At 45.0% G+C, this 12,827-nt stretch overlaps 1 long non-coding RNA gene across 1 annotated transcript; it reads left to right on the plus strand.

Moving 5' to 3' along the window:
• Window positions 1–6,352: 6,352 nt before the first annotated feature.
• Window positions 6,353–7,263, plus strand: LOC124903954 (uncharacterized). The gene is made up of 2 exons (XR_007065672.1): window positions 6,353–6,453; window positions 6,545–7,263. It is a non-coding gene; the product is annotated as an uncharacterized LOC124903954 (long non-coding RNA).
• Window positions 7,264–12,827: the final 5,564 nt, after the last annotated feature.

A 12,827-nucleotide genomic window follows, 5' to 3' on the forward strand; every position in this document is an offset into this window, starting at 1 on the left:
AGCCTCAGTTTTTCATAGGGTTGGTGTGATAATTATATGAGGTAATATATGAATATTACTTAAAACAGAGACTGGTAAGGATGGACTTTCTTGTTATTATTATCTGAAAAATTTGAAAAATTATGAGCCTGAGTAACAGTTATACATCTTACCCATTGGTTCACTAACCTCTGGCCCCTGGCTACCCCAGACCCCTCTACCATGCAGTCACCCACACCCATGCTTACACTGATGGAGAGGAGTCATCTATGAGCTATTCACTGGATGACAGGCCCAGCTACTGTCACAGATGCACTCCAAGTCCAGGACAGAATGCTAGCAGATAGCTGCTGGTCTGAGAAATGTCATCATCATATAAGCCTGAGTGAAAACACAACCCCTTTACTACTAAGAAATCTAAAAACAAACAAACATAAACCAACATAATTTTAAATTTTGTATTTTTTATGATGTCATTTGTCCCAACAGCCATCTGACATCAATAGTCCTGATTACTAAAAATCTCAACACATTATAGAAATGTTCTTCTCCTTTTTGAAAACCATGTTTATTTTTCCCCCACAATACAGTGCTATCTGCAAAGCCTTGAACTGATAACATAGCTCAGGGGCTAACTCTATCTTAGCAGAGTAGCAGCTGAAAAAAGAAAGCAATTCTTAACAAACAGGGAGATCAGGAATGCTCACTTCAAAAACATTATTTATTCAGGGCAAGTGGGCAAGTGGTATTTCTGATGTGCAAATGAAGCTTAAACTTCAGCTTTAATTTATAAGAATTAGGAAATGCAGATTAAATCTCTGATGCCACATTGTGAATTCAGTAAAGGTTAACTAATCTACGATGCAAAGACAAACTTTAGCTATCCTACACTTATTATTCTGGAAATTTAATGAAAATTAAACAAGAAGACTAACAGAGTATAAGAATTGTCCCCCCGTCTTAACACTGCTGTTTCCAGCCTCTGTTGCCTGAAACACTGCAGAATACTTCAGATTTTTTTAACCCCAACTTTTTATTGAGTAAAACCAAAGTACTAAACTAATAAATGTGAAAAAGGATGTTGGGCTTAAAAAGAAAAAGCCTCAAGACATCGAGCCTCTTAGATATTTTAAAAGTGAAGACCGAGAAGGAATGCACTGTTGCTAAATAGAATTATAGGATTATGGTCAATTTATAATCTTTTCAACATGGGATTTGAATGTTCTGATATTAGATACGATGTACGTACTTTATTTATATAGTACCTCCTGAGAAGAAAAAAAATCAATATTGGTTTATACAGTATTTTGCATGCTATTCACGTATGCAGTGATGTATACGATATCAGAGCTAGAAAATGGCTTAGATACGATTTGTATTCAGCGCTGGGCGGGTCCGGCCCCGCCAAGCCCCGCCCCGACACCACCCCCCCCCCTGCCCCGCCTCATCCCGCCCCCTCCGACCCGCCCCAGCCGCACCCCTTCCCCCTCCGCCCCGCCCCGTCCCCTCCACCCCGCCCCGCTCGGCTTCGTCACCTCTGCCCCGCCTCGACCCCTCCCCTCCTCCCTGCCTCGTCCCCTCCGCCCCGTCCCGCCCCCTGAGGCATGCGCGGTGCTCCCGGCAGGCGGGGCTGGCTGTTGGAGGAATGTGCGAGGATCTCCGTGGCCGGTGTCTGAAGTCGTCAGTTTACTGCTTGTAATGAACATAGTGATCACTGGGAACCTGGAAGTAGAGACTCCTTTGCGCCGTCCCGCCGTCCCTCTGGCTGCTGCGAATCCCCCCGCCAGCCTCCAGGACCCCGGGCTGGCTCAACGCCCCCACCGGCCCCGCCGCCCCAGGGCCCGCTACGCGCCCGGCATAATGGGAGAAAAATCAGGACGGAAAGGCCCAGCCCCTCGCCATGCAGACGGGAAGCTCGGCCTGCACATGTGAGGACCCTTACGCCCCTTGGGGCTTCACCCCCTTTGCTGGCTCCAATAGTCTGGGTCGGGGCCTCCTTGTCCTGTGGGGGCCTCTGGGCCACAAGAACACAGGCCCGAGCCCCGGCGAGCTCGCGGGCCTCCCACCAGCCGTGCTCAGGCTGCACTTCTGCACCCCAGCCCTGCACCTGCGGGACCACCTGGGTCACTTTTCCATTCTGATAAAGTCCCCGTACTTCGTGGCTGCAGGCTCCTCAAGCCCCAGGTCTGTGCAGGGATGAGCAAAACAGCAGAATATCCGCGCTACATCTTTCTGGAGCACCCATTTTACTACCAGATTTGGAAGGAACAAAGTTAAGTAATTTCCAGGATAAGTAATTAAAATTTTATGATGAAAAGGCTGGAAACTCTTCTCCTGGTAATAACTGTCAGACATATCTGTGCCTGAAATGTCAGACTTTCTCTGAGAAAAAAACTGAGAACCTGTTTCCCATTATTTTAAATAGGAAACATTATAGGGCACAGCAAGTCAATAGAAAAAAACCTACCAATTTCCTAATTCACAGTGTGGCAGTAGGTTTAAGTTGCACGTAAGTTAGCAGGTAAAATGCTTAAATGTTACCACGTGGTCACCCACATTTGATATGGTTGTTAACATGCAGTTGCCTTGGATGCAGTAGCTTTGGCTTGAGACCAGCAACATCACACGTGAACCTCTCCTTTGTCAACACACCAAAGCTTTTTGAAGTGACCGTCATGATCCTGATGGTCTACCAGTTGTTTCTGGAAGCAACATGTGGCTTTTCCAGCAAAGTATTTAGTTTAAAATGTTGTAATTTTTGAAAGCTCAAACATTATCTCTACAACCATCAGCCGAAAAATTTGAGACAGGTTCTTGCTCTTTTGCCTGAACTGCACCATGATAGGGGCTCCAGCGATCCACCTGCTTCAGCCTCCCCAGAAGCTGAGACCACAGGTGTGTGCCACCATGCCTGTTAATTTCTAAATTTTTTGTAGAAATTACATCTCCCCACATTGCCGAGGCTGGTCTTGAACTTCTAGACTCAAGCAATTTTCCTGACTTGGCCTCCTAAAGTGCTGGAATTACAGACGTGAGTCACCGACCGCACCTAGCCTGAAAAATGTTTTGTGAGATAAATAGCTGCTATACAGTTTAGATATTAAAAACTAAGATGTGTTCTCCCAGGAAAGTAATAATTTTGGATATATTCTGTGTCACATCCTGTATGATGAAATAGATGGCAAAAGAATCCCATTTAATTTAAAGATGGAAGCTGTAACTTCAAGTAAATTTGGAGCTGAGGAGTCCTTTCGGGCTATGACCCCAGAATTCTGGGGTTCTCTGTACTGATATTTTGCTAGTGTCCACACACAAGCATTCCTTAATGCTGTGCGTTAAACAAATAGACCTTCTTTGACCCCAGATTTCTCTCCATTTACCATTCTGTTTCTCTGCTCCATGCAACTACCTCACCTCATGTCCTCTCTTGAACCCACTCCTTTCTAGCTTTTCTCCAGGGTACTTTGCTGAAACGACTTTTATCTCAGTCATTTAGCTGCATTTGACACAGATGATACAATTAAGGAGTTCCTCCTTGAAACTCTTTCTTCTGGATTTTAAAGACCTTCCGTCCTGGATTCCCTCTCACCTTTTTCTTCATCCTCCTGCTCCTCCTCTACCAGATCTCTAGTGATCCTCTCAGAATGATCCCACATAGTCTCATAGCTTTAAATACCATCCATCTGTTGATAACCACTAGGCTTGGGGCCTCTTCCCTGAGGGGAGCACCAAGAGTCTTCCCTGACTCTTTTCCCTTCGCCCCCAACCCCCATGCAACCATACAGCAAGTCCTGTGGCTCTTGAGTGCAACCAGCAACCTGATTCACCATCTCCATTTCCACAACCAGTTTCAGTCATCTTCCTCTCCTACTGGTCTACTGCCAAAAATCCTCCTACTGCCAAAAATCCTCCAACCTCCCTGCATCCTATCTTGCCCTCCTGCAGTCCAGCCTCCACTCAAGCATCCAGAGTGATCTCTTGAAAATGTTAAAACATGATATAAGCATACCCCCACCCCTGTGTAAACCCTGCCACTGTCTACTCATTGCAGTAGAATAAAAGTTCAGACAACCTGGTGCCTGCCTCTTAAGCCTCATCTCCTACCCTTGCTTGTTCTTGCTATGTGGGTCAGATTTTCCGGTCTCCAGAGCTGAAAACAATCTTAACTGACAGGCATTAGATCATAGACTCTATCTACAGCATAAGGCATGGAAGGAAAAGTCTGAGAGAATGAAGGGCCAGAAAAGTTCATTTAAAAAAAATAAAAAGCACAGGAAACTGGAAACATAACTAACCTGTATGTATATACTCAAAAGAACATGGCAGCAAAATGAACTCTTTAGAAACTGAGCCAACAGACTTGCAAATGAATAGAAATACCTTTGGTCCTACTCTGAAAACAAAAAGAATCCTTAGTGAATATACAAGAACAAAAATTGTACACATTTCTGGGTCATAATGCAATAAAACTAGAAATAATCGAAAGAGAATTTAAAGATGTTCAGCTTCCTGAAAATGTCAGATTATCCTTTTAAACAAATTAATGCCTATGTCAGGGTGCAAATCCAAAACACAAATACCTTGCCTATAAAAATATATTTTTTCAAGCAACAGTGTATCAGGATGTAAGGAGAGAGCTCACTAACTCAGAAGCTCCCAGAGTGACCAGATGTGTTCATGGGAACCGGAGCACTGCCCTGGAGTCATTTGACATCACCTTATTACAAACAGGAACAGCCATGATGGGGAATGCTCAGATGCCAGTAATAAGTCAGAGGATTCCCTCCTGAACGGGACCTCCCAGTCCTTTTTGGCACAGGGTTCCAGGTGTGACCACAAATCCATGGGTGAGGGCTTTCAAGATCAACCTGCCCTCAGGCAGTGGAGTGGAAACTGGAACTAGCAGCTACAGTGGAAAAAAGGAATGTCCTCTCAGAATATGTCATCTGCCCCATGCAAAGACTCTGGATCTCAGAAGTCCTCCTGGTAAGGACTCGGAGCCAGACAACTTCATTTCCTGTCACCTGGGCTGCTCTCCCTCTGACAGCTATGGAAATTGGTGAAGCACAGGAACGTATTGGAAATGGCAATGATGTGCAATGCCAATGTGTGGAAGTGTACAAGTTAAGTAATATTTTAAAAACAGAACACACAGCAGTTTGCACAATCTGATCAAAGCTCTGTCATGTATGTTTCTAAACAAGTTTGGAAGAGAATTTGGAAATGGCTGAATTTTTTTAATAAAGCTCATGTTTTTAGTTTGTTTAAATGTAAAAGCATACACTTAGAAACAAGTTAGTACATAAGAATTTTTAATCTTAGCTATCTGGAAGCTTCAAATACCTAGAATGAGGCATTTCCCAAAGGTCTCTGTAACTTGAATTTTACCGTAGTTTGAAAACTCTTGCCAGGCATACTGGCTCACACAGGTAATCCCAGCACTTTGGGAGATTGAGGTGGGCAGATTGCTTGAGCTAGGAGTTAGAGACCAGCCTGGGCAACATGGTGAAACCCCATCTCTACAAAAAATTTAAAAATTAGCTGGGAGTGGTGGCACTGCCGTTTGACACAGCTACTCAGGAGGCTGGGGTGGGAGGATCCTTGAGCCCGGGAGGTCCAGGCTGCAGTGAGCCATGATTGCATCCCTGTACTTCAACCTGGGCAACAGTGCCAGACCCTGCCCCCTCCCCCAAAAGAAAACTATTAGTTCATAGTGCAGTTGATGAAATAATGTACATCCACAAAGAAAGGAGCAACCATAATATGTATATAATTACTCAGTATTAAAATATTGTATATAGTATTACATATATAATATTGAATACCTATAATGAATGGGGCACTGCTTTAAGCACTGTATACTCATTATCCCACAAGAATTCCTTCTCGGGTAGGTCTTAGTATATTCAATTTAAAGGCTAATTAGTAAGCAATACATAGAATTGAACAAGAAGCTAAAACATAGAAGGCTCTCGAAAATACAATGTGGAATGAGTAATGCAAGTTACAGAGATACATAGCACATTTATAGAAAGTGTAAAAACTTACAAAGTTAAACACTATATTATTTAGATAAACAATATATTATTTAGAGATGTTATTATGTAATAAAAGTATAAAAGTCAGGGAAATAATATGTTTTGTAAAGCTTCAGATGAATGATTGTCCTAGATGGGGAGGCAAATGGTTACATTTCCAAAGGGCCAACCATGAAGACGGCTTCAAATGTAGTGGTGTAGGTGATGGATACAATGTATTTATTTTACTTTTATGTGAGTCTGTGTGTATGTATGTGTGTGAGTGTGTGTGCAATTTTGTATGTATAAATATGTAGTAATTTTTTTTTGAGTTTGGGTGTTTCTCTGTCTCCCAGGCTGAAGTGCAGTGGCATGATCACGGCTCACTGCAGCCTCCACCTCTCAGGCTCAAGTGATGCTTCCACCTCAGCCTCCTGAGTACCTGGGACTACAACTGGTAAATATTTTGCTATTATAGATTCGGCTATCATGTTCTGTTCAGTGCCTATTTCAATAGCCTCTCTGCCTTAATTCACCTTCATCTGCAGTGGGACACAGTACTTCTTCTCTAGGCTACCCATGGGGTACCCCAACAGCGTTGCCACCACATACAATCTTCATAGAGCTCTTAACTGCATCCAGCTTTCTCCAGGAGCTCAGGATGCCCCAGACCCTCATCGCAGACAGCATTGCCCTGGAGCTTATGGCTGGAGATGATATCACCACAGACATCCCCAACCCAGCCCTGTCCTGGGAGCAGGATTCTGGCCTCCCTATTAGGCCTCAGAAACTGGCTGACCACCTGGCTTCACAAACCTGTGTGTTTTCAGGGAAAATTTTGATCTCTACAAACCATGACATGTAGAGAGGGACACACATCTGATTCAGCAGTCCCTGATCCGCTGATCCATGGACACATTTGCCCACAAGGAATAACCTAGAATTTCTCTCTGGTGGAGGTCAGGGGCATTACATGAGCTGAGTAGAGCTTAGTTTTTAATCACTAGACATAGGCAAGGTGTTTAAGTTATTACGCTTCCAAGCAGCATGGTCCTCACTCACTCAAGGTGAGATAAATATTGCTGCAAAGGAACAACAGCTGCATTGTTGGAGTTTTGCTTTTGAGGCGTGTGTGTGTGTGTGTGTGTGTGTGTGCATTTGTGTGTGTGTGCGTGAGTTGATTTCTTTCACAAAATACATTTTCACATACTTCCTTACTCCAATCTACATTGCCCCTTCCTTTTAAATAAATTTTTTTGAAAACTAATAAGCCTATTTTATTTATTTACATTTTTTATTTACGTTTCTTTACAAACTGTTTGCTATTAGTCTACAGTGAAAAGTCAACACTTTATAAAATAAGATTAGCATTTAAAAGCTTCTCAATTCTAATACTTTGAAAGGCTACACCCATTTTCAGAAAGTCTGGGCTATTCAAAATATTTTACAAAATTCTGAAACTTCGAAAAGCTGCAAGATTTGGAGACAGCAAGATGAAGTGTTTTTTCTAACAGCCAGTTTTGTTCACTTTATTATTAAATATGCACTTTTTAAATTAACAGCTTGAATTCTAGAATATATTTTTGAAAATCACTAATGATTTTTGTAAAAATAGAAAATCTGTTGTACCTTTATCTTAAAATTCACTTCTTATCTATTTTCTAGATTTGATGTTTTGTCATTTTAAAGGATACTAGACAAGAGGATCTCAATTTGGATCACTATATTGGGCTCCTAATATCCTAATATAATTTTAAATCATCTCAAACAATGCATTATTACCATATACATCAGCATTTCCCAAACTGTGCTATAAGCTATGTATACTTTTGCTATTTTTGAGCTAAAATATGCTTACAAATATATAAAAATATAAAAATATATTTAGGTGTTGTTATGCAATAATGCACTTTTCAAAAAGAAACGATATACCAGTCTCAAGAATACCCGGAAGCTGCATGAAAATTCTTGATTCCTTTTATATATAGTGACAGAAAAAGATGTAAATCTAACAATTGGTTATTTTTATTGTTTAAAGTTTTTTCTATAAGCACATGTGAATTAAGTATTCATTATTCCATATTCCTCATGTCACCGACGCTGGGTGCCCACAGCACTGTTTTTCTAACACTGCAGCTGTGGGACTGAGGGTGGCAGACCAGACACCTGCACTGAGCCACATTCGTCACACAGTTGGACCAGCCCTGAGCCGGGGGCAGAAACATCCTGATGTGAAAAGCTGTTTGCTAAGTACAATGACCACACGTTTCGTCTATTTTGAATACACCATCACAACAAACTCTACACTCTTGACAGATGAGACAGGCAGATATGATCTTTGAACACAAGTGAGAAAGACGTTCACACAGACTCCCATCCTCCCTCACATGACTGGAGGATTAAAATGGTGGTGGGGGGTGGATATTCAGCTCAGGGGCAGATTAGTGACACTCTCACAGCTATTTTAAGATACGAAATATTTATATGATCCTATTCCAAACCCTAATACATAAATAATGAACTCAGAACTGTACACAAAGGGAAACAAAAAACCACTCTGACAGTGTCCAGGTCCCTCATAAACTTCCCAGAAGTCAAGGAGGTCAAGGCTGGTCTCAAACTCCTAGGCTCAAGCGATCTGCCCACCTGGGCCTCCCAAAGCTCTGGGATTACAGGCATAAGCCACCAAACACAGCCTAGTACGTTCTTTCGATATGTTTGGAATGAATGTGTTTCCAAGGATAAAAGCTTACAATGACATCTTTCTTACCTGTAAGATACCCGAAGAGCAGAGAGAGGGTCCCCAGGCTGGCTAAGCATCCAGAACACTGGGGGAGCTTTAAAAACATAGATATAAATTATTGTATTTCACCCCTTACTTACTGAATCACAATCCCAGGGATGGAAGCACCCAGAGATCTGTCTTTTTAGAACTTCTCCAGCTCTCCAAGTGGTGCTGACAATCAGGCAGATTGAGAGCCAGTGCTTCAGGCAGCTCATCCCAGACCTCGGGAGCAGGGGAGTCACCCAGAGCTATGTCAGACTGAAGGTTCTGGTGCATCAGGGGTGGGGAGGGTCTTGAGAGTTGGCCTTTCCAACAAGCTTCCCAGAGGGGCTGCTTTGCTGATCCTCACCAGGCTTTGAGGGTGCACAGCACTCTTCCTCTAGGTGTGTGTCCACATACCTGGCACATTTGTTGTTGCATTGCCCCAGGTATAAAGTGCAGGGTGCCCCCTCTACACCTTCAGCCCTGCTGTCTCCCCTGCTGACCCCCAAATCTCTGGGGCTTGGACTTACCTTTATAAAGGGAGCTCTCAGCTCAGGGGTGGGCCCTCCCCACTGGCCCTCTTTTCCCAAGGCCCGGCATCAGCAGGAGCTGCTCGAGCAATTCATCCCGAGGGGTCTATGTGGTGTGAAAGGCTTAGGGAGACTGTTCTGTTTATTGTTAAGAGCCAGGAAACAAAGCCTGGAAACAAAGTCTGGTATTGCTCAATTCAGTGGTGATAAGAGACAAGGGTAGGGCAGGGTGCAGAGAAGACTCCCACACATAGCAGGACCGAGTGAGTGCCAATTCTTCCTTCTAACACTGGCACCAAGGAGAGACCGCTGTCCCTTCCCATAAAGGCAGTGGACAAATGGAAGCATCGCTTGGTGTGCCAGCTTCTTTGGGGCAGGAGAACAATAGGTGACTTGAAGCAGGGTTGGGAGCCCCATCCCAAGCACAGTGGATGCTGAAGGGGGTCCCAGGCTCCCCAGGTCCTGGGCTTCTCTTGATTCTCAGTTAAGCTTGTTGATTGCATATAGTTGAATATATATAGGCGAGGAAAAGACACAAGCCAAGAACTGGGGGCTTCAGTCAGCTCTGAAAAGTCAGGAAGAGCATTTCTTTTTTTTTTTTTTTTTTTTTTTGGGACAGAGTGTCGCTGTGTCACCCAGGCTGGAGTGCAGTGGTGCGATCTCAGCTCACTGCAAGCTCTGCCTCCTGGGTTCTCGCCATTCTCCTGCCTCAGCCTCCCAAGTAGCTGGGACTACAGGTGCCCGCCACCACACCTGGCTAATTTTTTGTATTTTTAGTAGAGACGGGATTTCAACGTGTTAGCCAGGATGGTCTCCATCTCCTGACTTCGTGATCTGTCCACCTCGGCCTCCCAAAGTGCTGGGATTACAGGTGTGAGCCACCGTGCCCAGCCAGGAAGAGCATTTCTAACATCCAAATGCAAATGTCTGCCACCCCGGGCTGCTTTCCTCTGGAAACTGCACTGCAGGGCACAGCAGGTCCCAGGTTTGCCTTTCCTAATTCCCTGCACCACCCAGCTCCCGCCTCCCTCACTGTGCGGGATGAGAGGTCCACACAGACAGTTCCTTCTCACCTTTGAAATGGCAGTGGTGGCTGCAGCCTGGGAGCTGAGGCCATCCCAAGCGGGTGAGACCCCCACCAGGGGCCCTGGGTACCTGCCGGCCACAGGCTGTGCCATCCAGGCTGTGCACAGCCACGCCTCAGCTACCAGGATTTCCTTCCTGTGGAACTGGACCTTCCATCCAGAGAGTCTTGCAGCAGAGAGCAGAAATGGGCTTTCTCTCTGCTGGTGTAGGAAAGCCATGGCAGGAAGGCGGTACCAACAACACACAGCTGCCTGTCCCACGTGGGGTCCTGCACCTCCTGCCTCCCAGCTTTCCTGCCCCTTTACTTTGTAAGTGTGCTCTTTGATTAAGTGTCCTGTTTTTAATTGTGTCCAAATGTTCACACTGTCTTAAGTGATGCTGGAGCCACAGCCTGGGGCCACTGCAGGTCCTTCCTCTGGAGCAAAGGGTCTTTGTCACAGTGTTTCTCTAAAAGCATATCCATCCTGAGTGACACTTATTTTAGAAACAGATAGAATTGGTGAAAAAAGGGTTGAGCATTATAAAATGTCTCTGGATTTCAAAGAAGTTGGCCACCATCTATGGGGAATTGGGGATGAGTAACTTCTCTTTAAGTAAATGAGGACAGGACAGGCATGGTGGCTCACGCCTGTAATCCCAACACTTCGGGAGGCCGAGGAGGGTGGATCACTTGAGGTCAAGAGTTTGAGAACAGCCCGGCCAACATGGCGAAACCCCATCTCTACAAAAAATACAAAAATTAGCTGGGCATGGTGGTGTGCACCTGTAATCCCAGCTACTCAGGAGGCTGAGGCAGGAGAATTGCTTGTACCCAGGAGATGGAGGTTGCAGTGAGCCAAGGTTATGCCACTGCACTCCAGCCTGGGTGACAGGGCAAAATTCCATCTCAAAAAAAAAGTAAATGAAGACAAAATCCCAAAGGCTAGAGCCACCACCCAGAGCAGGTTCAGGATCGAAGTGCCCCTGTGGTTCCCCTCCCACCTGAATGCTCTGTTTTAAAATGAAGGTCCAGGACAAGGGGAGAGCATGTCATTACTAAGGTTCAGTGTTAAATAGAGACATTCTTCCACTGATGGCAGCCATTATGGGCCACCTGAGCTTTCTTTGGTTTTCCCTGCCATCTGCATGGTCCTCCACTGCACTTGAATGAGGAGTCCTGAGGGTCTGAGTAAGTTGCAGGGATTGCTGTGCTGCCAGGAGTGAGTGAAAGAAGAGGCCAGAGCAGCCACCTCAGCTAAAAAGAAAGCCAGAGGAGAGGGTGGGTATTTAGGGAGCGGGGATTTTTAATTTCAAGTGAATTCTGTAATTAAGGAAATGGGGTGGTGGTGGTGGGGCTCTGGGCTGGGTGCTCTGGCACTGTCCCTAACAGCAGTCACAGTGATGGCTTTGCTCCTGTGCTGCTGTCCCTCCTCCCTCTCAGCAATAGGAAGAACATGTGTGCTTTTGATGCACTTGGTGCAGCAGGCCTGGGATGCCGCATTTCACACAAGCTTCAGGTGACCCCAGTGCTGCTGGTTCATGGACCACGCTGTGAGTAGCAAGGTCACAAACTCCCCTGAGGGAGGGGAGTAGCTGGCTGCGTTTCTGAGAGACCCTATTACGATTGAACTACTTTGGGCCTCACTTCTTGAGAACTCAAAACAGCTGCTGGGTGTGCTGAAGCCATATTCACCCCACCACAAAGAGGACAGTCAGCACCTTTCTCCACACAATGGTAAAAAGGTTTTGTTTTCATATAAAACCTCAACAGATGAATGGGGCCACTATCAATGATTTTCAGAAAGAAAGGCTCAAATACCAACTATTTTTTTTATGGAGTCTTGCTCTGTCACCCAGGCTGGAATGCAGTGGCATGATCTCCACTCACTGCAACTTCTGACTCCCAGGTTCAAGCAATCCACTCGCTTCAGCCTCCCGAGTAGCTGGGACTACAGGTGTGCGCCATGCCTGGCTAATTTTTATACTTTTAGTAGAGATGGGTTTCACCATGTTGGCCAGGCTGGTCTCGAACTGCTGAAATGAAGTGATCCACCTGCCTCTGCCTCCCAAAGTGCTGGGATTACAGGTGTGAGCCACCATACCCAGCCCCCAAATACCAACTATTCTTTAAAAAAAATTATGATTATGTTGGAGGCACAGTGGCTCCTTCTGTAATTTCAATACTTTGGAAGGCCAAGGCAGGCAAATTGCTTGAGCCCTGGAGTTGGAGACCAGCCTGGGCAACATGGTAAAACCCTGTTCCTGCAAAAAGTTTTTAAAAAATTAGCCGGGCATAGTCGCATTCATCTATAGTCCCAGCTACTCAGGAAGCTGAGGTGGGAGGATTGCTTGAGCTCTGGAAGTTTGAGGCTGCAGTGAGCTGTGATGGCACCACTGCACTCCAGCCTGGGTGACAGAGTGAGACCCTGTCTCAAAAAAAGAAAAAAAAATTTTATATATATATATGTA

This window comes from Homo sapiens, chromosome 17 (genome assembly GCF_000001405.40).
Source record: "Homo sapiens chromosome 17, GRCh38.p14 Primary Assembly".
Lineage (NCBI taxonomy): Eukaryota > Metazoa > Chordata > Mammalia > Primates > Hominidae > Homo > Homo sapiens.